This window comes from Homo sapiens, chromosome 2 (genome assembly GCF_000001405.40).
Source record: "Homo sapiens chromosome 2, GRCh38.p14 Primary Assembly".
NCBI classification, from domain to species: domain Eukaryota; kingdom Metazoa; phylum Chordata; class Mammalia; order Primates; family Hominidae; genus Homo; species Homo sapiens.
The window spans coordinates 45,783,278-45,807,912 of NC_000002.12; the positions used below are offsets into that span (position 1 = coordinate 45,783,278).

Sequence of the window (24,635 nt, forward strand, 5' to 3'; positions counted from 1 at the left end):
GGTAAGAATGCCGGTGCTCTGGGCATCATCCTGCTGGTGGCTGTCCTGTGGTGAGCCTTTTTATATAAAAATCACTGTGTGCACTTGTGCACACATAGACCCCCACCCACCGAAGGCTGCACCCTGTTGGTTTTCTTTCTAGGAACAGGAAAAGCACCACTGGGTAATGTCATAAGGGAAATAGGACGGAGTCTCAGGTCAGGAACTGCAGTCATCTCCTTTGCTGGGTTTCAGCATTTCCCTCCTTGGGAATCTACTTCTATCTGCAGGTTTTTTATACCTTATGTTCACCTTTGGTTGTATGGAAGTCGTTCTCTTACTGTTTAATCCAACCTCCAGTGACAGAAGTAGAATTAACTAAAACACAAGTTAGGCTCCATGCTAGCCAAGAACTCAGTTTTTCTTGGTCTGCAGATGAGGGGATGTTCAGTATCCTAACCTGTTCTCTGGTCACAGGATGGTGTTTCTCTGGGTGTGGCTCACGAGCCTCCCATCTTAGAATCTTCTAGGAGCCGGGAAGTGTGCAAGCTCTAGAGCCCTACTCCGGACTTGTTGAATCTGAATGTGTAGTGCTGGGGCTCAGGACCTGTGATAGGAAAGTCACAGAAAGCATAGATCTGTCTGAAGAAACTGCTGCAGCCTCCATTCATTTCTTTCTTCATCTTCCAGGCCATGACTTCGAACTTTGTTAGGATCCAACCTGCAGGGAGATTTCATGTCAGTTCAGTCACACACACACTCACCCACTAGCATCGCTGTATCCAATATCTTCTCTGGATGTCAGGAGAGCTCTGTGCTGGCGCTCAAGGACCTCAGGGTCTAGTTGAAGGAATGAAGTGTGCTCATATTAAAAGAAAAGTAGCAATGCAAAGCAAAGAAGGCCAAGTGCAAATGTGCAGTGTAAACTTGATTTTAAGGGAGGGGAGAGGCTTTGGCCTTGGCCAGGATCCCAAGGAAGGAGCTGAAGACATGGAATTGGAGGCAGTGAGAAAGGTGGTCTTTGCAGAGGGAGCAGTGTTGACAAGGCCCCTGTAGGCGTGAGGGCCACTTGCGGGTGAGGTGTGGAACCGAACCTGCCAAAAAAGGAAGAAGTGGGCTGGCTGTGAATCTAGGAGAAGACTTACATTTGGAGAGCTTAAAAGATAATCAGATTAATTGGGATTTGCCGGAGAAACTTTGGCAAATCAGTGCTATAATCAGCTTCGTGTTGGGATTTGCAAAGTCGGAATCCAATTTCCTAATTTGATGTCTTCCCAGTTCATGGTGCCCCAAATTGTAGATCTCATCCCATTAGAGGGTTAGAGGGTCTAGAGAAGATTTTAGATAAAGTAAGAACAGGGCATCTCCTAGCTTTTTGTTTTTTTTTAAACAAACCTTTTTATTTTGAAAAATTTCAAACACTTACAAAAGTATAACATGAGCAGAACTTTGATTTAACAGTGATGAAGCTACGCCTGTGAGCCAATAATATGAAATTCAAAAACAGAAAAAAATGAACCTATGGGGATAGAAAGGAAAATGGTGGTTGACTTTGGTTGGGTACTTGACTGTGAAGGAGAAGGGGAGAACTTTCTGGAATAATGATAATGTTTTTTGTCTTTATTGGAGTATATGTGATTTGTCAAACTCAGCAAACTGTACACTTAAGATCTGGTACTATACCTCAAAAATATAAAGGTATTTCTTATCCTTTTCCTCTAATTTTCTTTCAGTCCTTCTCATCAAATCAAAGAGAAACTCTCAGCTTAGGGCTAGAGTGTCATTACCATCTCTCTAATACTTATCACCCTCTTCACACAGAGGCAGAGGGCCTTAGCATGATATTATTTCATTTTCATTGCATTAAAAAATACTATGGCCAGTGAATCTAATTTTCTTAAGTTGTATTATAGCATTTTTCTTTTAAAAGAAAATTATTTAAGAAAAAAAGAGGCCAGGCACGGTGGCGCACACCTTTAATTCCAGCACTTTGGGAGGCTGAGGCGGGCAGATCACTTGAGGTCAGGAGTTAGAGACCAGCCTGGCCAACATGGCGAAACCCTGTCTCTACTAAAATTACAAAAATTAGCTGGGTGTGGTGGTACACACCTGTAGTTCCACCTACTCAGGAGGCTGAGGCAGGAGAATTGCTTGGACCTGGGAGGCAGAGGTTGCAGTGAGCCAAGATCATGCCACTGCACTCCAGCCTGGGTGACAGATGAGACTCCCTCTCAAAAAAAGAATAAAAAAAAAAAAGAAATGTAAGTGGTAAACATATATGGTGAAAGCTGGAGGCAGTGCATGACTGGCAGAGGTTTGAGAAACGCTGTAGAAGGGGAGCTACTACTTCAGGTGTCCCTGTGGGATGGATGAGGACTCTTGCTGAACACGATCTGTTCTTCTGACTGGGCATCACTCAGGCATCCTATGTAGCACCTGGTTTTGTTTTCCAAACTTATGGTGACCACTACCCTCAGAGCCAGTGGCACTGAGAGATGCTGGTCAGGGTTAGGGGATCTGTGGTGAACTGGAGACCACTCAACCCAGGCCGAGGAAGCACAACAGATGGGAGTGCTCCTATGACACCAGGAGGCCAAACTCGAACCTCTGCCTCACATGCAGCACCGGGCAGACTGAGCTGTTGGAGTAAGATGGAGACAGCAGGGATGGCTCGTTGCCTTGAAACCTCTCCCTTAGGCACCTGCTGCTGAGACCCAGAACCTTCCTAGGGTTCTGCTGCAGTCATGCTGCCTCAGCGCTGCTGAGGGGTCTAGAGTCTCACAGCCCTGCTGGGTCATCGTGGGGGTGAATAGATACCTGCTTCTCTCCAGGGACCTATGGCCTTCCATAGGCACCTGCTGGGGATCTTTATTTGAAATGAGCAATGTATTATTAGCAAGGGGCATTGATTGCAGTCTGCCAGTGACTTATTTATCCCCCGTGCTGCTTCTTGCTCTCCGGTTTCCAGGGAGTGCTGGGCTTTCCAGGTTGCCTGTCCAGCGTCTCTGTGTCTCCCTGGCCTGGCCACACAGTAGAATTCATCCCAAGTTTCCAGGAGGAGTTACAATGAAGAGACAGTTCAAGTGACAGTTGCTGTTTAACCGCCTCATCCGTGGGGTTCCAAGAAAACTGTGACATCAGTGAAGTTTGTATTCCCTACCGCAACTTCCGTTTCTGTACCCACCCACTCCCTCTCTTTCTGGCTGCTCCTAGTATCTGCTTTCAGCCATTTTATCTTTAGTTTCCATCTGCACACTACCTAATTCACTTCAACAAGACCTGAAGCAGACAGGCCCCACTAACAGGAACAGGACAGGCCTTAGGGGCCTTCAGACCTTGGCACTGGAGGTTCAACTGGGAAGACAGAGTATTTTGTATGAGATTCAGGGGTGGGAGTGAGGGGGCAAGGGTTTAAGTTTATTATCAAGGAACAGCAGCAAACCTTACTGGGGGTTCACCCTGTGCCAAGCAGGCTCTGAGTGCTGTGTACAGCCTCTTGGCCACCTAATCCTCCAACAGTTCAGTGAGGTAACCACTACCCTCACCCCCGTTTTACAGAGGTGGAAACCGAGGGTTTAGACAGCTGAAGTAACTTGCACAAAATCACATGGCAATAGTAGAGATGCGATTCAAACCCTAGGGAATACGATTCCAGAACCTCACTGTTAACCAGGAAGCTGGTGTTTCTCAAACTCGCCTGGTGAGTCACTTGAGGCTTTGGTTCAAGTCGGGATTTCCCATCGGTTTCCCCTGGATCCGATGATCCTATGGGTTTGGGAATCTGCACATTGAATAGAGACCCTGAGTGAATCTTATCTGCTGGTGGATGTGGGAAAATCTACACTTGGCCATTTGGAAGTGAGGTGTCCCCCCAAGCTGGGAGGAGCGTGGCTGTAGCTGGCAGCCCTGCTGGGGGCGCTGAGCTTCTCAACAGGAGCTGGTGATAGCTGGAGCTGAGTGCAGGCTCGGAAGCTTGACCAAAACGGGATTCCAGGCACAGGAACTCAATGATCACACCTAGATAGTTTTGGGGGTGGATTTGGAGAACAAATAGCCTAGTAGGATAAAATGTGATGAGGGAGAGGGAGAGACAGAGACAGAGAGAGAGAGAGACACAAAGTCAGAGACATCTGAGCTGAATAGCAGCTGAGAGGCCCCTGACCAGTCATCACCTCTGGGCAATGCTGGCCACAGAATGGGACTGAGCCTGCAGGTGCGTCTGGGGAGGGGAAGTTCAGTTGTAGGCAATGGAGCCAGGCAGGTCTTTTCCAGATGGTTTCCTAAACAGGTGTTTCATGGGAACCTGATGAGAGGGAGGGGTGACAAGACTCATGCTATGGAAAGCCCTTCAACCAGGGGTATCCCATTTTCTCTTTATAATATATTTGGGTTCCATATAAGATTTCATCTGGAGAGGGGAAAGATATTGAAAACGACAAGGCTTACCGTATCAACAGAAGAGACCTGACAACTTGGCTCAGGGTTCGCGATACAGGTATTAACCATCCCATGGATTTTTGCATCTAAAGAAAGTGTCTGGGTAGTGGGATGTATGACCTCAAGGGATGAAGTTCTCAGCAAGGAATTGCAGGCCTGGAGATCCTGTGCAGGGGAGTGATATGTAACCAGCGGCCCATCCAGAGCATTGCGATCCTGCCAGCCACAGAGGCTTCTCACTGCTCTCCCTTTGTCTTAGCTGTCTCTCATGTTAGGTTTTCAATGAAAGCTTGGAGTACCCTGTGTGTGCCTAGAAACCCTGAAGGTCAGGATCGTTCAATAATATTCTCCCCCATTTCAGGCCTCACCGTGTTCTGACTCTGAGAGGGACAGGATTTCTTCCTGGTCAAGCCGAAACTTTTCCTGCCAAAGTGTCTCCTACTGAAGTCTGTGGCTACTTGGGATTCTCAGGGCATGGGTTGTTCTGGGTGACTGCAATTTCCAAATAGCTAAAGGCGTATTCCTTAAACTACACTTACCTTTTATTATTACTATTTTGGATGGAAGTCATCACCCCTATTTCAGCTTTCATAAAATGGTTATAATGAACATAATTTAACTCATCCTTGGTGACTCTGGGCTTTTCTTAGGAGCATCGGTAATGTTGCTATGCAGTGGCACGTTGATGTTCACAGAGCCATTCTGGATACATCAAGGTGTTTGTCCCTTCATTAGAGAATCCTGACTCCAGTGTTTTTACGTGCAGTGTCTACTTACTTCAGTTTTTCTGTGTCTTCTCTATCAGCACTCACTTCTCATTGCAATCAGGGGGCCTGCTTCTACACAGCCTCTCTCATCCTTTCTACCTACCCCTCCATTGCCTCTAATTTACTTGATTCTGATCAGCTGTTGGTTTAGAAACCAGATAAGTGATCTTGTTTCAACAGTGCATGAAATGAAACAAGCTTTTCATGAGGACCAGAGGGACACTCCGTCTGAAAGGGATGTATGTGGACATTATAACATCAAATCTAATTCTCTATTCAGATGCCTTTATTACTTACTTTCTGTCTAAAGTAGGCAAAGTAGTGCTATTCTCGGGATTTTTAGGTCTGAAGAAATATATGAAGATACATTTCCTGATTCTTTAGCTTCATATGTTTAAGGATAGGTCAATCAGAGAAGGGCATTGACTTACACCATTGGTCCTCAACTCTGGCTGAATATTCAAATAATATTCAAATACCAGAACCTAGTCCTACCCCAGACCAATTAAATCAGAATCTTTGGAGATGTGTCCCATGCATTTTAATAACTCTCCTTGGGATTCTAATGTGCAAGCAAGGTGGAGAACCACCCACTTAGACCCTCGCAAAACCACCGCACTGAAGACTTGTGTCTTTTAAGACAGATGACAGGTTCTTGGTGGGGGAAGGTGGCTCATGCCTATAATCCCAGCACTTTGGGACGCTGAAGCAGGAGGATTGCTTGAGGACAGGAGTTCAAGACCAGCCTGGACAACATAGCAAGATCCCATGTCTACAAAAGAAAAGGTGCCTCTGGATTTTGTATAATAATGTGATAACTCAGAAATTTGTGTACAGAGACCATAAGATTGACCATATTATTTAATACATTTATTAAAATACTGTTCACAGTTCATGCATTTATTGCATGTCTTCTTTCACTGTGCTAATGTGTATGTTTGACAAAAGCCTAGGACCATAGTGAGACCTTGGCTCTACAAAAATTTTTTAAATCATATGGGCATGTAACTCATCACTGTAACTCCAGTGGAGCATAGCTCCTGCCTGTGGTCCTAGCTACTCAGGAAGCTGAGGCAGGAGGATTGTTTGAGCCTAGTAGTTCAAAGCTGCAGTGAGCTAATGATCATGCCACTGCACTCCAGCCTGGGCAACAGAGTGAGACTGTCTCTCTGGTTGGGGGAAAGGGGGGAAAGACAGGGATTCTCAACCCTCAGCCCTGGCTGTCCTTAAGAACCATCTGGAAGAGCTAGGAATCATTTGAAAATACCCCTGCCACCCATTTTTAATGAGCAGTCAGGGCTGAGAATCACAACTTTAAGATATTTTGCCTGTAATTAATATTTATATTTTAAATCTACATTTTCTGAGAAGCTCGGAATTTTAAAAAATGTATTAGTATCTTTCTGAAGATAATGAAAACTTGTGTCTTTAGATTAGCTTTACATATCTGACACCTAAATGGTAGTGTTCATTCATATTGATAGGATAATGAAGGAAAGAAGAGCTTTGATCAAACGCCTGGGACACCAAAGATTTATCTCTGGTCCCAAGAGTGGAAATCTCGAGAGTGGCCCTGAATTACAGAGCTGGCAGGAGCTCACAAGTGGTTTGTGGAAAGATCAGCTCTTTTGTGATGGCTCTTGGGACAGACAGTTCCTGTGTAGCCAGCTCTTCAGTATTGTCTACCGTGCATTTTGTAGTTGCAAAAATGCACATATGCATAAATGAGAGCATCCTTCAGCCTTTGGATGAAATGTGCAGCTGAATGAGGAATGCTGAAGAGATCATCAATGCCACCAAATCCTCCAGTGTTGTATGAAAGCATCAGTTTCAACCGAGATTCAGGGGAAAAGATAATATGAAAATGTGTCGAGGGTGGCAGCACGTGGGAAAACTTGCAGGATGCGCTGAGAAAAACACACACGTGTGTTCCAGTCTCACTGATTTGGAGCCTCAAATCTGCTAATAGGGCCTGTGATATTTTTAGCCTTGTTATCAGAGCGTAGAGCAAGTTTTCAAGGCTTGTAGGATGTATCTATTAAAATAACCTATGTGACTGAGTGGCTGCTCTCTATAACATTTTTGTTCCACTGAAATACAATGAGAGGAAATGGGGCTGCAGGAAATGGCCATTCTGTCAGAGGACCCAAAGCACACAGGGCCAGTCCAGTATTTACACACATTCTGGCCATTGTGCTTGCAACCTTGGGTAACCCTTCACGTTTTTCTTCTCCTTTTTCATCTTCTTCAGATTTTGAAGGTTATTCGGCTTGAGAAGGGATGTACTATGCTCTGGGAAATTGATTTGTGAATACACTTTGTATCTGTTTCTGCACAATCCTTGGAAGTTTTCAAGGCTGTTGATTCTCTAACAAGTAGCTGACAGTATGAACTTCTGGTCCTGATGATGGTGCTGGTGGTGGTAAGCGGGGAATGTGGTGGCACAACTATCAGACACCTGAGGCCCGTACCTGATTAAGGACCTCTAGAAAGGCGTGTAGGCCTCCCACAGAGGCCAGGCCAGCGTCTCCAGACCTTTGAAAAGGGAACAGAGCAGGCATGTGTTCCAGCCCCTCCACCTCCGCACAAACGTCTGCAGTCTACAGCCAGCTCACTTTGGTGAAGAAGGGAAGGTTTTGTGTAGAGGTCTCTGAATTGGCTGGTAGAGGTGCCTCTGACTGGTCACGGGGCTTGGGGACTAGGGATAGTTTCTGTGCCCTGCTGAACCTCCTCATTCCCACCTAATCAGCCCCTTTAAGTCCTTTTTACATATTGAGCTTTCTGGTAAAGAGGTTCCTGCTGTCCAAAGATTGAAACCAACTAAAAATAACAGAACGCGAGAGATGGAAAAGACTGTAAGGCAAGCTCTCTGGCTTTCAGTGGGGAAAGCTATAGTGAGCACGTGGGGGTCCTGGTCCAGAGTCCCTTTACCCATGGAGCCCCAAGAGCAGGCCCTACACCCGCTGGGCCTTGCCCCCTTCTAGTTTCAGGCTACCCTGTGGGCCAGCAGGCTCAGCATTACACTGTATTTGTATAATTCCCTATGTCCTTTCCTTCCATATCCTCTTTCTTTTAGTTCTTTTCTTTCTTTTAGTTCTTTCTTGAAGAATGGGGTCAATTGATTGATCTTGAGTAAACAAATAGTAGCCTGAGTGAATACCTGCAGAATTAAATTCTGATAGCTTATTTCACTCTAGAATCTTTATGGGTAGCTGCGCAAAGTGGTGTACTTTCCTTAAAGACAGCCTTTCCTTGATGCTGGGTTAATGCGCTCCTCTCTGCCCTTGCTGGTGCTAAAGGGTCACTGAGGCTCAGATGCTCACTGCCATCTGTAACTCCAGTGGAGCATAATGGTCAGGAGCACGGGCTTTGACCCCAGCTCTCTCAATGAGAATCCCGGTTCAAATACATTTGACCCACAGGACCTCTCTGGGTCTCAGTTTTCTTATCCCTGGAATGAGGATAATGGCACCTGTTCCACGGGGTATTTGTAAATGACCACATGCCTGTAGTGCTTAGTTGACACACAGTGTTTTAGTCCATTTAGTGTTACTCTAACAGAATAGCTAAGGCTGGATAATTTATAAGGAAAAGAGCCTTGCTTAGTTCATGGTTCTGCAGGATGGCAAGCTCCAGAAGCCTGGTGCTGGCATCTGCTTGGCATCTGGTGAGGGCTTTCGTGCTGTGTCACAACATGGCAGAAGGGCAAAGGGGAAGTGGTGCAAAGAGGCCAAACCTGAGGGGTGTCCTGGCTTTTAACAACCCAGTCTCACCAGAAGTAATCCAGTCTCCCCAGAGCAAGAACTCACTACCATGAGAATGGCACCAAGCCATTCATGAGAGATCCATCCCCATAACCCAGACACCTCTCATGAGGCCCCACCTCCCAACACCACCACACTTGGGATCACATTTCAACATGAGTTTTGGCGGGGACAACTCAAATCATAGCATACGATGAGTGCTCAGTAAATGCTAAGCTATTGTCAGTGGTCACTTTCCATCCCTACCCCAAACACAAAGCTAGAGAAGGGTGCCCTTCCCACCCTTTCCCTTCTATCAGCTTGTTCTGGTGGCTCTAACACGCAGGAGAGATGCTGGCCGAGGGTGGCTTCTGCTGCCTGGTGCTCAAGTTCCTGTCCCACTTTTACTGCTCACTAACTGTGTGACTCTGGATAATCTACGTAGCCTCTCTGTGCCTGGGTTTCCTGCCTTGAAAGATGGGGTTAAGGAGAGTTTCTTTCTTCAAGGACTGGTTGTAGGATTAAATGAGATAATGCTTATTGTAAAAGTGCATCCATTTTGTCGTGAGCACTGATAAATGGTAGGTGGTATAATTAATTAATTTTTTTTGTTGAGACAGAGTCTTGCTCCATCACCCAGGCTGGAGTACAGTGGCACGATCTCGGCTCACTGCAACCTCTGTCTCCCGGGTTCAGGTGATTCTCCTGCCTTAGCCTCCAGAGTAGCTGGGATTACAGGCACCCGCCACCACTTCTGGCTAATTTTTGTATTTTTAGTAGAGACGGGGTTTCACCATGTTGGCCAGGATGGTCTCAAACTCCTGACCTCAGGTGATCTGCCCGCCTTGGCCTCCCAAAGAGCTGGGATTACAGGCGTGAGCCACCCTACCCAGCCTAATTAATTTATTTGCCCTTCCTTGTTCCAGAATAGATTTAAGCAGGGCAGAGAAGAGGTGTTGAGTAAACAAAATGTCCTGGAAAGCTCTTTGCTGACTGAGAGAGAGCTGCAGAGGAGCCTTCCTATTTGTTGAATTTGGGCGAATGGGGAAAATGCAAAGCTCCCAATCCCCCAATTTCTCCATCTGTTTCCTGGGCTGCTGCTCTTCTTTCTCGCTTGTTCTCTTTCTTCTTCTGCTCTTGTGTGTTCCATGTTTGGTTAGACACTTCGGGGGAGGGAGGCAAGCTGAGAGGGGAAGAAAGAAGAAAAAATTATACCCAGACTCCCCCAAATCCTGCTCTTTGGAAACCCTGAGAGCTGACAGGTGTTCTATCTCGTTTGTCTGCAATGAAGATTACTGATGAATCCAAGCTGCAGGTTGTTTTTCTCTAGCAATGGTAAAGTATGTGTCCAAAAGCAACTCCAGACGGTGGCCTCAGCTTACTGATTTTCTCTCTGATGCTCTGGCCTTTGAGTTCTGTGTGAGCATATGTTGGGCAGTTAGCCAATTCCAGGTGTAGAGTTTTGTTTTCACAGCCATGATCAAGGCCAAACACCATACTTTGATCGAGGCCATCAGGAACCATCAAAAACAGCAACAATTGTTTAAATTTCCCCCTAGATATGTTTGGAACTGGGATCCGGGCTAAACCTGTGCTGGTGCTTGTCAAGGACAAGGACAGGGTCTCACACTGACTGGTGAACAGCCCTGTTACATAGCCAGGAACAAAGGACTCTGAGTCATGAGTGTTCACATTTTTTTTTTCTTGCTTGGTTCGGATTGGTTCTAGTTATTGGGATATTAACAGAAATGAAAAGGTTTAGATAAAATCCACAGCAATCCCACATCTCCATGCCTGAATCCCAGAGAGTATGATTCGGATTAGCCCTAAAACCTTGCCTTATTATCGTGGGGCAGCCGCCCTGGGACCCCAGCTAGAGAAGCAGGGAGACGCAGATGTTTCAGCTTGTTGCAAATGGAATTGTTGACCAGTCAATGCAGAACTCTTCCTCAGGAGTGTGGCATCATTGATTTATGAATTATGGCCCTTTTAAACTCTCTGCTTGCCTTCTCGGATATCGACGTTTTAAAAAGCGATTGCTCATGTGGATCCTTTTCAGAAACACATACACATGGCCCGAGATGAGCTCTTATGTCAGAGTAAATGGAGTGGCGCACTCTGGGCTGGCGTTTCCTTCGAATAATGAATTATTCAGGGAGGGATTTTTGTTTTTGAAAATGGCAAATGCATTGACGGGGCAGACAGGAAGGAATTACACTCTGGGCTGAGTACTTTCTTATCTTTCAAGGGAGGGGTTAACCAGCCTGGATGAAGCAGGGTGCCAATTCGTTCTCATTCCTGCGGTATTCTAGCACGGACCCTGATGCACGGCTTTCTGTGGTTTCAAGCGCCTGGGGAGGAACCTGGGCAAGGCTGTGGCAAGGAATCTCAGGAAGGGCATGGATCTCGCCTGACAGCCCCGTCTCTGGAGGGAGATGTGTGACAGTCTCTGACCACTCACTGCTTTTTCATTTTCCTTCTGAACATCTCTGACTTCCTTTCTTCCTCTCCCACTCCCAAGGTTGGACTGTTCGAATACAAGCCTCCTCCACTTCTAATTACTTGAAGTATTCATCAAAATGATAGACATCCTTTATTGATCACCTATAGAATCCTATGGGGGAGGGACAATTATTGCCCTACCCCCCCCCCCATCCACCATTTCTTTTTTTCTTAACGGGAGAAGAAACTGAACCTCAAACAAGTAGAAATGTCAAGATCACAGAGCTAATGAGAGCAGAGTGATTCAGACTCCGCTTCTGCTGTTGTTGGTTTGTTGCTGTTGTTTTCCACTCTTTCCTTTCATCTTTGTGCCACCCAGCCCTGTCTGTTCGAGGTACATGACCCCACCTTCTGAGGAGGTGAGGCCAGCACCTCTTCTCCTTCTTGAGGTCCCCCACGGGGGTTTCCAGAGACTGCAGCATCCATGCTGATGAGCCAGCCAGGGCCCCAGCCTCACAGTTTCTGGTCTTCCTTGGCATGGGCGTGTCGTGGAGTGACCAGACCTTCCACCTAGAGCTTTGACCCTGCCCTCAACTCTCCCACCACCCCGCACCACCACATCCATGCTCTGCTCTCCCTCAAACCTGAACCACTTGAACATTATTGTTATTATTTTTTTTGAGATGGAGTGTTGCTCTTGTCACCCAGGCTGGAGTGCAGTGGCGTGATCTCAGCTCACTGCAACCTCCGCCTCCCGGGTTCAAGTGATTCTCCTGCCTCAGCCTCCCGAGTAGCTGGGATTACAGGTGCCCACCACCACGCCTGGCTAATTTTGTATTTTTTTAGTAGAGATGGGGTTTCATCATGTTGGCCAGGCTGGTCTCGAACTCCTGACCTCAGGTGATCCACCCTCCTCAGCCTTCCAAAATGCTGGGATTACAGATGTGAGCCACTGCGCCCGGCCTGAACATTTTTAATTGCCCAGTCTATTCTGCTGCTCTCCATACTGGATTCTCCACCTGGCCTGAAGGTCATAGTCAGCTTCTTCAAACCACACAAACTGGCTCTGTGGGCCCTGGTTCCGTCAGCAGGGTGCTTCCTGGGATTGGCCACTATGTTCTTTGCCCCTTCTCATGTCACTGTCTGCTGGTCCTGCTCAGGTGGCCAGGAGCAGAGCAGAGCTCGGCAATGCTGTGAGACCCCCCGCAGAGTTGTCTTCTGCAGGTTTGCACAGCTTTTAGCATGACCTCCACTCCACCCAGGCTTGACAGCGCTTTTTCAAATTTCAAGCATTCAGAAAAGTTGAAAAGAATAGAAAATAAACACAGCTCATTATTTCTAAGCAATACTCCCATCCTCCATCTCCCTTCACTCTAAGCTTCTTTGCATTTCTTTGAAAGCAGTTGTTCTTCACACCTCTGTGCCTTTGCTCATGCTGTTCCTTCAGTGTAGAATGCCCTTCCCTGCTCTACTTGCTGAACTCCAGCTAATTCTTTGATGTCTTCTCCAGGTTCTCCATTCCCATGCCTGCCCCAGTTAGTTGTCTTATTCTAGGCTGACAAAATGTCCAGGTGTCGTTTGTATAACGTAGTAATTGATGATAGACTCTAGAGCCAGGCTGCCTGGCTTCAAACCCCAGCTCTCTCACTAGCTGTAAGAAACCTTGGACTGTTACTGAACCCTTTATGCATTAATTTTCTCATGTGTCAACCGAAGATAATAATAATTTCTACTTCTTAGGGATGTAATGAGCACTAAATGAATTAATATACATTATGAGAACAATGCTTGGTGTATGGGTGCCACATAATACAAGCATTGGCTGCTATTATATCTCTTATGATGATTTCACTGAAATTATCACTAAAATTGAACTTCTTGAGAGGTGGCACTGTCTTATCTTGACTTGGGCAATCTGCTTCCAGGCCAATTAACTTAACCTCTCTGACTTCACCTTCTCCACCTGCAAAATGGGGTTGATATGATATACTGGGTACCTGGGGGGATGAAATGAGTAAATACAGGTATGTCATTGTGGTCAAACAAGGGTGAGCCATCATTCTTAGCTATTGTGCATTTTTCCCAGAGCCCAGGTCAAGACTTGCAGAGCTAGAAAAGACTTCACAGGTCACGAGGTTTTACTTTTTGTTTTGTAGAGATGGGGGTCTCACTATGTTACCCAGACTGCTCATGAACTCCTGGCCTCAAGTGATCCTCGCGCCTCAGCGTCCCAGAGTGCTAAGAGTATAGGCACGAACCACCATGTCCAGCCACCTTGAGGATTTTTGTTTTTTAATGTTATAGATAAAGAGCTCAGAACAGTTAAGACATCATTGAGGGTTACGTAACTCCATTTACTATTTATTTGAGACACAATGGTACAAGAGGGTGAATCCCTAGGAGTGTCAGTGTTTCAGACAAAGCAGCTTTGGGAAGAGGGAGAATAATGCTTGCTGTCTAGCGTTTGATGTTTTCACAGATTGCCTGTGACCGCCTGTATGTAACAGGTATAGTATCATTAGCTTGTTGTCCATGTGGGGAGACTGCACCCAAACCCATTCTGGTGACATCACACAGTTGGAAGGCCACTTTACTCATTCTGCCTCATGGCTTAGCTTTCATAGAACAAAACCCCTACCAGAAATAAGCTGCAGGGTGAAGGGGAGGGAGGGAGCCACGCATGTCCTTGTCCTTACTAGGGTTTCTCAGCTCTCCACGACTGCGGTAACCACACACCCTGGTTTGCCCAGAACAATCTCAGTTTACACCTGTGGACCCAGTTCCATGGTGCACCACATACCTGTTCACTTGCAGAAGTGCCTTTTACAGTGCTGGGGAGCCACATCTTATGTTTTGCTTTTTTAACCTGCCAGCAGGCTTCTTGCACGCACCAGGCTGAGGCCGTTGTTCTCCTTAATTAATTCGCTCTGCAAGCCAGCCAACCCCACTGAAGCTCTGGGAGAAGGACAAGGAACATTTAAACTGACCTGTCTTTGGTTGGGGCGGTCTCTGCTGTTGGGGCAACAGCACTACGCAGAGGATGGCTGGAGTCCACATGCTCAGGAAGGACTGCATTGCACTTCATAGTTTTGTTTTCTTCCCAGCCCCATCTTTTTCAATTGGGACTACCGTGGTAGCTTTGGCGCTTGGCGCTTTCAGCATAGGTACTGCTATTCTTACAAGTGCTCTACCTCAGTAAAGGTTGAGGGGATCCAGGCCTTCTCATGGAACTCTGGTATTTAGCTGGATTGTAGCTGGAAGGAGAATGCACATTGCCAACATAACAAAACAGGCGCTGGGCTTACTGAGTTCCTTCGCCAAAACCCAGGAATGTAGACTTGTTCTCATTTCCTCATTTTATACTCCTGTGAGGAATTCTTGGGGCTGCATAAAGTGATTAACCCAGGAGCCAGCTCCTTGGCGTGTCGGGTAGAGAGGCCAGGCTTAATGAGTGTACTTTCTCCTGCCTTGATCTCAAGGAGCTCAGCAAAGTCGTTTGTGCAAATAAAGTATACAGTGGAAACCACTGTTTACTCCATTGGATTAGGCTAAACCAGATTGTAAAAGGCAGATGGGAAAAATAAAAAATAAATAGTTCTAAAATAAAAAAGGAATTTATATATGTGGAGCATATAAGCTAGGTTTTATTATGTCTATTTTAGAGATATAGAAACTGAGGCTCCCAAGAGTTAAGAGTAGCAGAGCTGTGGTTTGGATTTGGAAGCCCAAGCTCTCCCCACCAAAACACGTTGCCTCCTCCTTTGCCTCACATACATGCCTGCCCCCGACTTTTGTGGGACCTCCTGTAGGCGCTAAGGGAGAGCCATATACAATGTGTCCAAATATTGAAACATTAGATGTCAAACATAAAGACTGTTAAGATGTGTTCCAGCCTCCCAGCTTGACAAATATACCTTCAGAATGACAAAATTTAAAAAGTGTAAAGCCAGAGTTTTATATGATTGAAAGCAAAATATCAAGTTCAAGTTGCATATTTAATGGGAATATTTTTCTTGCTAATTTTCATTGTTTTGATCAGTAATTATTTCCTAAGTCTTTATTAAATCGAGAATTTATAATATCGTTTCAAAGTGTATATGGGCCATGCTCAACAGAAGTGGCTTTTTTTTTTTTACCTGTTTTCAGTGTTTTTAAAATTTAAAAAACTATATTTTATATTGTATTTCTTATTATTATGGGCACATAATTGGTGTTTTCTGTTTTTTAAAATGTGAGCATTGGCCGGGCACGGTGGCTCACGCCTATAATCCCAGCACTTTGGGAGGCTGAGGTGGGCAGATCACAAGGTCAGGAGATCAAGACCATCCTGGCTAACATGGTGAAACCCCGTCTCTACTAAAAATACAAAAATTAGCCGGGCATGGTGGTGGGCTCCTGTAGTCCCAGCTACTCAGGAGGCTGAGGCAAGAGAATGGCGTGAACCAGGGAGGCGGAGCTTGCAGTAACCTGAGATCGTGCCACGGCACTCCAGCCTGGGCAACAGAGTGGGACTCCGTTTCAAAAAAAAAAAAAGAAAAAAGTGAGCATTTTCATTCATTATTGATGTTCTATTATTTATTCTTTTCAGCTCCTTTTTTCTGAGCTCCACTTTTCTATTTCAATCATAATCCCAATTTATACTCATTTTCAGTGATCTAAAGAATTACACAAGGAAATTTAATTATATTCAAAGTGTATAAAAATTGAGTATATATTTAGTAAATAGATAAATTGTAGTAAATATAAAAGTTAAAATATTTGGTCAGGTTTGGTGGCATGTGCCTGTAGTCCTAGCTACTCAGGAGGCTGAGTGGGGAAGATTGCTTAAGCCCAGGAGTTGGAGGCTGTTGTGCACGATGATCATGACTGTGAATAACCACTGCACTCTAGCCTGGGCAACGTAGCAAGACCCTGTCTCTAAAAGAAAAGAATATTTTTTAAAAAATTAAAATTATTTCAATGTTTTCAAAAAAAGATTGTCTTCCAAATATTCAAAATTAAAAGGCACATGTCAGTATAATTAGTGCATACTCAAAATCTGATACTTTTTAAAGCATGGGGCTCAGGGCAGGCTCCTGTTGTCCCTAGTCTGCGGATGGCACTGCTCACACATTTAATTTGTACAAGGAGAAGATTCCATTTCTTCTTGCTGAGATGATGTCAGAAGTAGTTACCAGAATCAGGACCCAGTCTAGGGTCAGGGTTTTCCAGCAGAGGCAGGATCAGGAATTGCAGTCATGTCACCAGGCTGCAGCTTAATGAGGTGTAGGTTAAGCTCCTAGCATCTGAATGTCTGGACTTCTTGTCCACAAGACAAAGAAAGCCTGGATTTGAGACTGTTTCCATGGTGGGTCCTGGGGAGGAGGAAGGCTGATATGTGGGTAGTCACCTCCAGGCTGGTCAAGTGGGGAGAGATTTTCCCCCTAGTTCTCTAGTTTGTATAATGCTGGGTAGATGAAAATATAGTTGCAGGGTAGGGTAGTGGTGGCGCAGGAGTGCCCAGCGGCTGGATACTTGATAGTGTGTTAAAGCAAAGGCATGGAGCAGTATGCTAAACTCTGCACAGTCAGGCTACAAGGTTGCTGGGTCAGCTGGGGGTCAGGGTGTTTTCACAAAATAAGAAAGGACTGAACGGGAAAGGCTGTTCAGTATAAGTCACCTTGAGAGCATGGGGAGTCACACTGCCCAGGCAGCAGCCCTTCCATAAAGCCTCATGCTGGGGGGTCTGACTCGAGAGAGCAATCAGGTTGCCTATGTCATTGGTCAGGCTTCTGGGCCAGGGCTGGAGTGGCTGGAGCCCAGGTAGACCTGTGGCACCTGGCAGGTGCCAAGGGCAGTTTTAGTCAGCAGTTGGCTACAGGCTCTTGCCAATAGGCAATGAGAGGCCTGTCTAGACTGGGGTTTGAGGGCAGCCTTCACTCCTTACTCCTAGAAGGAGTAAGTTCTGGAGAGAAGGACAAGGGAGAGCCACAGTCTTGGCAGAACTGGGCTGCTGGGCAAGGGGTCAAGTCCATGCCTTAAGCCCCACAAGGAGTTTCAACCTATGGGGTTCAAGGCAGAAGAACAAAATAAAACTTCCGCCATTAAAATTGGAGAAGGAACTTGGGGGTAGAACTAACAGTAGAGCTGGCTTCCTTCGGCCCGTAAATCTTCACTAATTATCTCCTATGCACCATGCACTGTGCTAGGCACTGACATACATGTATGCATGAGCCATGGTTCCAGGTCCTCCCAGAGCCGGGGATTATAATCCACTCTATGAGAGAGGCAGAAGAGCAGATCATTACAATACCTGGAAACTAACGCAGTCATAGAGAAATGCAGCAGTTGCCTGGGAAAGATTCCTCAACAAGTCTCAGAAGATGGGTAAGAATTAGTGGGGGGAAGGGCATTCCAGGCAGGGGGAACAGCATAAGTGAAAGCAGAGAGGTGGTGGCAGCACTGGAGTGTTCTCGGGTGTATAGGCAGTTGAGTGGGCCAAGTTTTCAGCAGGGTGGTGAGAGATGTGTTGAGAAGAGTTAGCCACATGTGGGGACTGATGGCCGCGCTCAGGAGATCTTCCTTTGATCTCATGGGGTACCATAGAAGAGTGTTAAGCTGACCAGTGGCCAGGAAAATTTGAATTTTAGGAAGACATTTGGTATTTTTAGTGCCTTATTAGAGGTTGGATTTAAAAATGAATTTTCAGGGATGAATGTGAAGGGGAGAAGGCCAGAGGAGGGAATCCATTTAGATTGCTGTTCTGGAATTTCAGGCCAAGGGTTGCAAAAACGGGGACTGGGGCTGTGCTCATTGGAACAGGAAGGGGAGCAGTGGAGAAGGGGGTAAATCCCACAGGACTCAGTCATCAGTGAGTGCTGAGGGTGAGGGTGAGGGAGAGGGAGGAGGCGGGAATGCTGCCCAGGTTTCCAGCTCAGGTGATATGTCCTAAACTCTGCACAGTCAGGCTTCAAGATGCTGGGAATTTAGGATGAGGTGCTGGGAAGGAAGATGGGGAGTGCAGTTTGAGAGCCAGCTAGAGAGGAGGCTGAGGAAGGCCGTTGGGCAGAGCCAGGGTGGGAGACTGTGGGAAAGGAAATGCAGCCCCAGAAAGGACGTTCTTCCCTGGTGTGTCCTGGCTGTCCATGGGACAGGTTGCCAAACCTGAAGCAGGCTGCTGTGGGTGTGGCCTGAGGATGCTCCAGAGACCCAAGTCAGAAGTTTCAATGTTGTGCTGATCCTAGCCTTGCTGCTGGGGTCAATTTTGCACTTCTCCTTTCCTTTTCTACAAAATGGGGATAATAATACTTAACATCTAGGCTGCGGTTTGAAAGCAATACTAGGCCAGGCCCAGTGGCTCATGCCTGTAATTCTAGCACTTTAGGAAGGCCAAGGCGAGAGGATCACTTGAGACCAGGAGTTCAAGAACAACCTGGGCAACATAACAAGACCCTATCTTAAAAAAAAAAAAAAAAAAAACACCCAAAAACTTAGCAGGGTGTGGGCATGGTGGTACATGCCTGTAGTCTCAGCTGCTTGGAAGGGTGAGGCAGGAGTTGAAGCTCAGGAGTAGAAGGCTGCAGTGAGCTATGATCACACTCCAGCCTGGGTGACAGAGTGAGACCCTATCATTCCTTCATACATGAGTAAATAAATAAGCAAATAAATAAAGTATGCATTTGGTTAAATCTTACATTTTTCCAACTTTCAATTTCTAAGAATTCCAAATACATCTGGCAAAGGTAGGCTATTATATTTTATATTGGTCCCTTTTTTTTCTTTATTAATGATGCATAAAGGTCCATCTTAAAGTGATAGTATCTTAGATAAGATGATCTACTGTAATTGATGTGAATGTGTTTTGAAAACCTCAACGGAGTAGACTATTATAAAGCCTTTCACAGCCTGCCTCACACTGATGAGGCTCTGTCTTCTGGTGTAATCTTCACAACAACAAATACATTAAAATGTATTAAAGTACACTATTAAAAGCAAATGGAGTAAGCCCTCCAGGGAAGTCAGTCACTTTAGAATGCTCCACTCCGCCCCACTTCACAGCCCGGGATTTGACAGATCTCTGAAAGCAGAAAGGCTGGAATACACATGAGCTTTTCTTTTGTTCTTTCCATAGGGATCCAGTTCAGTGGCTCTCAAACTTTACTGTGAATTAAGATCGGTGGACATAGACGTATAAACATGCACAGTATATGCACTAAATCATATGGTGCTTTAAGATTTTCTAGGACCATCTTGATTATTATTCAGTGTTTTTAGTCACCAACTGTAGAACACAGCTCGCTTCTGGATATGATGCAATGTCACCTTTTTACCGAGGAAGGCCCAAGTGTTATGTGAACAAGCAACTTAGATTGGAGCCATTTGGCTCACAGTATGAAAGGTATAGACACGTATTTTTTTAAGCAATAAGGTATGGCTTGAAAGGTGGCACTTGATTTCTAAACAATATTCCAAAGCAATCTTAAAGAGAAATTCAAAATTTAACATGTCTCAGACCGTGGTGGATCTTAGAGGAATCATTAATAAACATTATGAGCTTTGAAGAAAAAGGAGAATGTTTAGATACAAGGGAACAAGATTTGGTCTATACCTAGGTGTTTGAATTGTACAGGATGATCTGGTCTTTTAGCCGTGACCATTTCACACCACGAAATAATACACTGAAATTAAGTCCTAGAATAAAGATTTTGGGTAAGTGCTTTGGAATCTGTTGAGCATCATAGGCGCTGGTGCTACCCTTGAACACAGTGAAGTCTCTAGTGTTTATTCCCCACTGGAATTTTGCCATATGGACAGTTTCCACTCTCTTTAGGCAAGGATTAGAAGATAGCTTGTGGCTATGCTTTTCCCAATGGCATTATCAGAGACAGTGGGAAGGGTTTGCTAGAATCCCTCTGCCCTGCTTGTCACATTTGAGTTAGGGGAGTGGTCACGAGGATGCTTTTAAATGTAATCCCTCTTTGGTCCCCAGCTGTAGGTTGGCCTTTAATATTTACTGATGGTTTGGATGTGGACAGTCAAGGACTTCTTACCATCCTCAGCGGTAATGAGTACTGGCTCAGTCACTGTGGGTTATGCTCAATTTAGGTCAATGGAATAAATGTTTAGTAAATTGTTTCTGAAATGTTTTAATAACAGAGTGCTTCCCTCCAAAATATTGTATACACTGTAAATTTCATTAATTTACATAATGTATTATGCTTTGCAGGGTGAGTGGGGGCTCCATGAAATAGTCTGTCTAAAGTTGCAGAGATTCTGTACACAGGATGTTGTTTAATGGGCAAAGCTGGAAGTCAGGATCCTCCGGTCCTTATCCCTGCCCCATCCAGGAGAGGGAAATTTAGTCTCACATTTGAGCCAATCTCAGATTCACCATCTTGCAGGAACCTGTTTCTCCCTTACTAGACAGAGGGTCCTGGGTTGCCTGGGCTATCTGTGGCTGGCCCATCACCACCTCTACAGCACCAGTTGAGTGTCTTGCCTGCCAGGAGTGCTTAATGCATGACTCTAGTGGGTGCTTTATGATGATGCCACAGCCAGTGGGAGCAAACCCAATGCTGCGTAGCCAAAGCCAAGGGCTCCAGTAGGAGCAAACCCAATGCTGTGTAGCCAAAGCCAAGGGCTTTTGGGAAAGAAAATGGAATGGGTTTCAACCCTGACTAAACATCAGCATTATGTGGAGGAGCTTTAAAAACCACCAGTGTGCAGGCCCCACCCCATCCCTACCGACCTGAATTCCATTGAGAGGACCTGGGCATGCCGAGTCGAGGTGGCCGCAGGTTATTCTAATGGCCTTCCAGGGTTGAGAGCTCCTGGCCTGGTTGAGCAAGGCAGATCAGGAAAGGCTTGTTTTGGTTAGCAATGACTTCTCCTATACTGAGGTGCTGAAGTATGTGGGTAGCAGAAGGAACAAGCTCTGGGAAAATCTCTACAGGCTGTTCTAGAAAGCACTCTGCTGCCTGGGTTTTGGAGTTGGCCAGCTCCTTGTAGAGGCTGACTTCATGGGGAAGGAACATGGTTCCACTCAGAAAACAATTCAACTATAATTGAGAAAGAGGAGAGGTTGCTGTTCGTTCTCCCCAGTCACCCAGTAAATTTGGAGGCTGAGGGACTTAACATTACTGGCAGTCGGCTTGGCAGTGTTGATGTATGGATGTTGGAAATCAGAGATTAAGGCAAATTAGTATAGGAAGGCCAACCAGGAATCAAATTTGATTGTTTCAAAAGCCTTTCCTATTTGTTTCTTTGGGACAGGATTTTGTTTTAAGCCTTTTAAAGACTTTGTTCAGCTAAACTCATCAACTTTTTTTTTTTTTTTTTGCATTTGCTCTATGTTCTGTTTTATGCTAGAAGAGATGACTGTTCTAGAAAACCTTTCTAGAATGAGGCTGGATATATGGAAGCCAAGGAAAGGAAATATAAAAGACAAGTCAAAGATTCAATAATTAGAATAGCTAAGTCATAACTGTCTTCTTCTTTTTAGATACTGTTCTGAGCACTAATTTATCTAATCTTTACAGAAACCCTGTGGGTTAGACACTATTACTACGATTCCTATCTTACAGATGAGAAAACAGAGCCATAGAGAGGGTAAATAACTTGCCCAAGATTGTATAGCTGGACTCAAACCCAGTTGGACAGCATGATTTTGTGCTCCTAGCCACTACACATAAGGCCTTTTAAGTTTGGAGCCTGGTGAGGGGTCATCACACAATTATAGATGAGTCCTGCCTTATTGGTTTGGTTCAGTGTTCCTTCTCAGCGTTCGTGCCCACACACAAAGGATGCTGTGATATTGTTTACTTGTGCCACTCTTTACTTGTGTGACTCTCTAGGCCATGACTCCCAGAGGACAGGTGTGGGTCCTACAGTGCACACCCTGGGAATTAAAGATTTTTGAAGAAAGTTCACTTATTGAAGCTTATGCTAAGTATTTGCATACATTACCTTCCTCTTTTTTTTTTTTTTTGTTAGACAGAGTTTCATTCTTGTTGCCCAGGCTGGAGTGCAGTGGTGTGGTCTTGGCCCACTGCAACCTCCGCCTCCCGGGTTAAAGTGATTCTCCTGCCTCAGCCACCCAAGTAGCTGGGATTACAGGCACCTGCCACCGTGCCCGGCCAATTCTTTTGTATTTTTAGTAGAGACAGGGTTTCACCATGATGGCCAGGCTGGTCTTGAACCCCTGGCCTCAAGTGATCCTCCCTCCTTGGCCTCCCAAAGTGCTGGGATTACAGGCGTGAGCCACCGCACCCAGCCTACATTACCTTCTTTATCCTATCACAACTCTCCTGTTTTACACAGAAAGAAATGACCTTCAGAGAGGTCAAGGAGCTTGCCCAAGGTCTCACAGCCATCTACTGTTTCTGTGTCCATGCTCTTGAGCTCCCCACTGTCTAACTCAATACATCCTTGCTGAATGAGCTCCAGGATTTTGATGCAGAGTTTTAGTTGCCTGGGATATTGGAGGAGGGGATACTGGGGCGCTCATCCCAACCTTCAAGGGGAAAGTTCTTAATCTACATCTACATCCTTGAGAATGAAGATTATAGAAGGAATTTGCTTCGGGAATCCTGGCTGGCACGTGAACCAAAGGGTCCCATGTGTGTGAGAAGGCTTGTGAGCAGGAGATGTGATTTACAGCTTTGCTGGTCCATGATATGCATGTCAATGGTGCTGCCCTTAACCCACCCGCTCCCCAAGCAGGGACTCAGAGATTGACTTCTCTTCTTTCACTTGATTCATTTATTCATTTGTTTAATTAGTTTGTTTATTTTAGAAGTTGTGGCAAAATACACATAAAACTGAACATCTTACTCGTTTTTAAGTGCACAGATCAGCGGCATTAAGTCCGTTCACATTGTTGTGCAGCCATCACCACCATCTATCCACAAAACTCTTTTCATCTTGTAGAACCGTAACTGTCTCTTTAAACAGCAACCCCCATTCCCCTCTCCTCATAAGCACAGGCAACCACCCTTCTACTTTCTGTCTCTATGAATGTGACTACTGTAGGACCTCGTGTAAGTGGATCATACAGTACATGTCCTTTTGTGATCAGCTTATTTCACTTAGGTCGCTGGATTCTTTACCCTTAATTGTTCTCAGGATGAGTACAGATGAGGGAGGACCCCGGGGTGGGTGAGGAAATGAGTGTGCAGGGAGATACCATGTACGTCAGGGACTAAGGAGGGGAAGGCTGGGGAAGCTCTGAGATCCCATGGGCCTGGGAAGGTAGGGTCCGGGCTTGCTGCTTAGAGCTTCTGTGAGGCTTCTTTAAATAGTTGGGCCCCTGAGGATGTTTTGCCTAGAGAGCCACTGTGGGTAGACCTCAGGAGGCTGATGAGACTATGCTGAAGCTGCTTCCAAGAGCTTTCTGCAGGTCTGGATAGATAGAACAGGACAGGCTGTGGGATTCAGGGCTGGCACGGGCTGGGGAGCAGATAGGCCTTGGTGTTGAATACTGGCTCTGCCTTTTGTTAGAGGTGTGATCTTGAGCAAGCCATGTAACTGGTCTCAGCCTCAGTTTTTTCATCTGTAAAATGGGGATAATAATCGCTATCTTGCAATGTTGCTGTAAAGAGGTAATATACATAAAGTGTGAAGCATAGTGCCTAGCACATGGCGGATGCTCACACATAACAGTGGAATGATCAAAGATGGGCTTCTCACACTTGGCATTTTTAAAGAAGATGAAACCTCCAACTGGACAGTGTCTTCTGGTCTTTGCTGATGGCCCAGAATCATGGCTGCTAATTTCTCTCAAAAGGCGATGTGTTTCACACAGAAATGAGAAGTGGGGCTATGAATAGATGTGACAGCTAGTGGTTGGTGTCTCCTAATCCCATTTACCCAAAACTAGAAAACAGCAAAGGGTACAGAAAAGCCATTTGTAGAAATGGAGACGAGCAGAGTGCAAATCATTCCTCCAGACAAATCATGACTTCCACTCCGTTTCCATTTAGTCGAGGCAAGGTCTCCCAGAGCTCCCACCTGCCCAACATTCATGGCTAACAGTCTAGCTGAGTGGTTCTCAAAGCCAGAACTCTGCACCAGCAGCATCAGCCTCACCTGGAAACTTGTTAGAAATGCAAATTCTGAGACCCCCATCTCAGACCTCCTGAGTCAGGAGCTGCCAATGGAGCCCAGCAATCTCTGCTTTACCAAGCCCTCCAGGTGATCCTGCTGTGAGCTCAAGTTTGATAGCTCCAGCCCCTGCCCCACCCGATTTCTACTTTCTCTCCCCCTGCTGCTTGACACACATTTCCTGGTC

General features: G+C 45.7%; 1 protein-coding gene across 19 annotated transcripts in view, besides 2 other annotated features; it reads left to right on the plus strand.

The window, feature by feature from the left end:
- Positions 1-24,635, plus strand: part of PRKCE (protein kinase C epsilon) — a 536,712-nt gene that overhangs the window by 131,999 nt on the left and 380,078 nt on the right. The gene's annotated exons all lie outside the window — the stretch shown is intronic.
- Positions 3,074-4,273: an enhancer, noted in NCBI's record as "CDK7 strongly-dependent group 2 enhancer chr2:46013490-46014689 (GRCh37/hg19 assembly coordinates)". NCBI's record gives its function as "activates an origin of replication core promoter dependent on BRD2, BRD4, P300/CBP, MED14 and CDK7 cofactors, with strong dependence on CDK7, by STARR-seq in HCT116 cells {active_cell/tissue: HCT116}" and the evidence as "EXISTENCE:reporter gene assay evidence [ECO:0000049][PMID:35650434]".
- Positions 23,686-23,775: an enhancer, noted in NCBI's record as "active region_15692". NCBI's record gives its function as "activates an Ori minimal core promoter by ATAC-STARR-seq in GM12878 lymphoblastoid cells {active_cell/tissue: GM12878}" and the evidence as "EXISTENCE:reporter gene assay evidence [ECO:0000049][PMID:35858748]".